We start from the raw sequence: 3,726 nt of genomic DNA on the forward strand, positions 1-3,726 counted from the left end.
TGTGGTAACTGAAATTGTAACCACGTTTTTGGGAGACTAGTGCTATTTAACTAAACTATGTTAATTAAACCTGTGCATATTCAAATGTGCAAAGCCAGGACTGTTTTTACTTAGTTCAGGTATTTAGAGGGAAAGAATGTTTGCCTCTTTTCAGGGCCTTAGAGCATGCCCTGTGCCAGCAGGCCCCTTCCACAGCTACTTAACATCTCTTCTCATCTTGCCAGCCACCTCTCAACTCAGATGACCAGCAAGGCCATCTTTGACTATCAAAATGAAGTAGCCCCTCTCCGCTTTTGACTACGTTCACTTGCTTTATTGTCTTTATAGCATTTTTATTTACTAAAATAACATTTTTTTCATTACTTGATTTTTTTCTTGATTCAGTACTTCTAAAAAATGCAGATTAAAATTCCAATGACAAACCAAGTTAACTAATGTTAAAAAGTGTGATACTGGCCAGGCACGGTGGCTCATGCCTGTAATCCCAGCATTATGGGAGGCTAAGGCAGGCAGATCACAAAGTCAGGAGATCGAGACCAACCTGGCTAACACGGTGAAACCCCGTCTCTAACAAAAATACAAAAAATTAGCCGGGCGTGGTGGTAGGCACCTGTGGTCCCAGCTACTTAGGAGGCTGAGGCAGGAGAATGGTGTGAAACCAGAAGGCGGAGCTTGCAGTGAGCCGAGATCACGCCACTGTACTCCAGCCTGGGTGACAGAGCGAGACTCTGTCTCAAAAAAAAAAAAAAAAAACAAACTGTGATACTATTAGGTATTGTTGAGAATATAGATCTATCAGAACCTTTAACTTCTCATGGGAGCATAAATCGGAAAACAGTTCATTTTAACTTAGTGTACAAATCTTTTGACACAATGATTTGAATGTTGGGTTTATACCTTAGAGAAAATCTAACTCTTATGTCCAGGAGACTCATACAAGAAAAGGACATCTACTTTTTGTAACAGAAAAAAATGGATAATAACCCCAATCTAATAAAATGGAATGCTCATTATAGTATTATCCTGTGATGGAATACTCTAAATCAATGCACAGAAAGTACAGATAAACATATCATAAGAATGAATCTTACAAATTTAATATTGAACCAAAAAGCAATTTCAGAAAAATATATTCAGTGTGATCCCATTTGTTTAAACTGAAAAACATGTAAAACAATAATGTTCAATGTCCTTTACTAATGCATTTATTTTGGCAAAATTATAAAGGCAAGAAATGGGACTAATTAACAGGACAGTGTTAAGGACTCTAAAAATATGGGTAGTTTTTGATTCTTAAGCAGGTAATGTGTACATCAGTGTTCATTTTATTATTTCTTACACTGTGTTCATGACTTACACATAATATTTTGCTAGTTTTAAAACATAAGATGTGATAATAATCTAAACAGACCAAAGGAAAAAATGAATATGTTAAAAAAAAAGACAGAGAATGAGCCCTGTCTGATAGAAAGCATAACAAAGCAAGTAGAAGAACTCTCACGAATGCTTGATCCAATAAAGCTAGGTTTGTGCTCCACAACACTTCAGCATTTTAATGTGATTTTTGATGTTTGCTTTTTGCAACGGTGATTCTCAGTTGCCTCCCTCCTATGTCTTTACAAGCTGAAATCAAGTGAAGCTACTTCTGACTTTTTCTAAAACTAAAACCCAACATGAAGGTCTGCGTATTCTTTCACATGTGCACGTATGTGGCACTTTTCCATGATGCAACAGCAGCGGGTCTCTAGCTAAGCTACAGCAGCAGCTCTAAGAGGCAGAGGACCCTGAAATGAGGCTGAAAGAAAGAATAGTCCATAACTGACATCAGGCAGGCTGCTGTTGTAAGCAAAGAAAGGAGGCTCACAGGGGCGTGGACTCAGGCCAGGTCAGGCTATTGTGGGAGAACACGGAGCACACGTGTCAGCTGGAAAGGGGCCGGCTCAGGAGACAAAATAGGCACGAGAGGAAACCGAAAAATTGACATACGTGACTATCCTTGTAGAAATGTATAAAGGTTTGGATTATTTTGCTTATCGAGTTATAATAAACTTATTCTAAAAATGTTTATGTAAAGTATTATGTACATTTTTGTTTTACCTTATAAAGATTATTTATATTTGAATTGTGTGGTTTTGGAATGACAGTATTTATAAAGTTGGTTTTGACATTCTCTACGATGCTTAATGAAGAAACTGACGTTCAAAGAGATTGGTTAATTCCCTGTGGCCAGTGGCTGAGCTGGGACAGAGTTCAGGTTTTCTGATTCTCAGCCTATGTTGTTTTCTCTTCATTTTAATGTGAACCTAAATAGGTATAGGATCTAGACAAATATGACATGTAGTGCCTTATTTCTTGTTTTCTCTGTAATGAATGCCAGGTGAGATAACTTTATTTACAAAAGCCCATCCAGTGGCTCAGGTTGCATCTGTAGTTGCCTTTGAATCATTTATTAAACGTCAGGATGGTAAAGTGAGGAGCTTCCCCAAACTGAAGCAGAGTGGCATTTGTCCCAGGTTGTAGAGTGTTCCCTGCCATAAATAAAGACATGCTGGTTCTTGTTATTTATACAGGCACTGGGGTTCCCATTAGCTCTTACATTTCATATGCTTAGAGCAAGAAGCTAGAGAGTGACTTAGGATACAGTGTAAATATATTAGTAAATTAAGACAGTTCTGCAAGATTTTTAGGACTTCTATTTTTCTTCTATTCATCATTTATGAAGTATTCTTGCTGGAAATAGTTTATGTCTCTCTATCTTGCTGAGTGATGAATACTCGGCCAGGATGTTAAAATGTGGTTTCATGAAGTATGTTGTGTTTCTGTCTGTTCTTGTTTCCTTCCTTGAAATGTGTAAAAGTGAAAAACGTATTAATCATAAATCAAGCATTCATCATAAGCCTAAAAAAAGATAAAATAATCAGTAGTATCATTGACTAAAATTATTACTCACCAAAAGAAACTCACTCCAAAGTTAGCACAATACTAACAGAGAATCCTAGTTTTGCCAGGAATCACTGAGGCATAGTACCTCACATGGGAAACATGGGAAGTAAAACCACCTGAGGAGCCACTTGATGGTGAGTCAGGCTGTTCCTCGAAGAGCAGGCTGTGACTGCCAAACTTTGTAGGTTAAGGAGTATTTATAATGATCTTTGAGGAAACTGCAACTGACAATTGAGGAAAAAATATGTTAGTTCATGACTGCAAAATACATGACAGAATCACAAAAACTATTTTACAAGTTTAAAAAACAAACCTGATGCTGATGCAGGGCAGGCAAACCCCAAAGTGGGGCTTAGCCTGCAAGGGTTCTTGGCTTCACCCAGGAAAGGATTCAAGGGCGAGCCAGTGGTAAGGTGGAAGAAAACACCTTTATCAAAGCAACACTGTTGCAGCTCCTGTGGGGTCACAGCTCAGTGACTGCTCCCAGGGTTGCCCCATAGGCAGGGTGCCGAGAGTAGTGGCTGAGCCCAGTTTTGCAGTCATATGTATACCTACTTTTAATTACATGCAGATTCAGGGGTGGTTTGTGCAGAAATTGTTAGGAAAAGGGTGGTAATTTTTGGGTCATCAGGTCATTGTTGCTGAAAGGGGTGGTAATGCCTGAGTGTTGCCATGGCAATGGTAAACTGACAGGGCACACTGGTGGGTGTGTCTTACAGAAAGCTGCTTCCTCTCTGTCCTTGTTTAGCTAGCCCTCAATCTTTTGTTTGTAAATTAGCAAGA

The 3,726-nt window shown here is 38.7% G+C and overlaps 1 long non-coding RNA gene across 1 annotated transcript; it reads right to left on the reverse strand.

Annotated features, from left to right (window-relative positions):
* Nucleotides 1-2,514: 2,514 nt before the first annotated feature.
* On the reverse strand, nt 2,515-3,465 carry LOC105379435 (uncharacterized). Its single transcript, XR_950634.2, has 3 exons — nt 3,257-3,465; nt 2,951-3,167; nt 2,515-2,840 (listed from the first exon to the last, which is right to left on the reverse strand). It is a non-coding gene; the product is annotated as an uncharacterized LOC105379435 (long non-coding RNA).
* Between the last annotated feature and the right edge of the window lie 261 nt (nt 3,466-3,726).

The sequence above is a fragment of the Homo sapiens genome, chromosome 9 (genome assembly GCF_000001405.40).
Source record: "Homo sapiens chromosome 9, GRCh38.p14 Primary Assembly".
NCBI classification, from domain to species: Eukaryota; Metazoa; Chordata; class Mammalia; order Primates; family Hominidae; genus Homo; species Homo sapiens.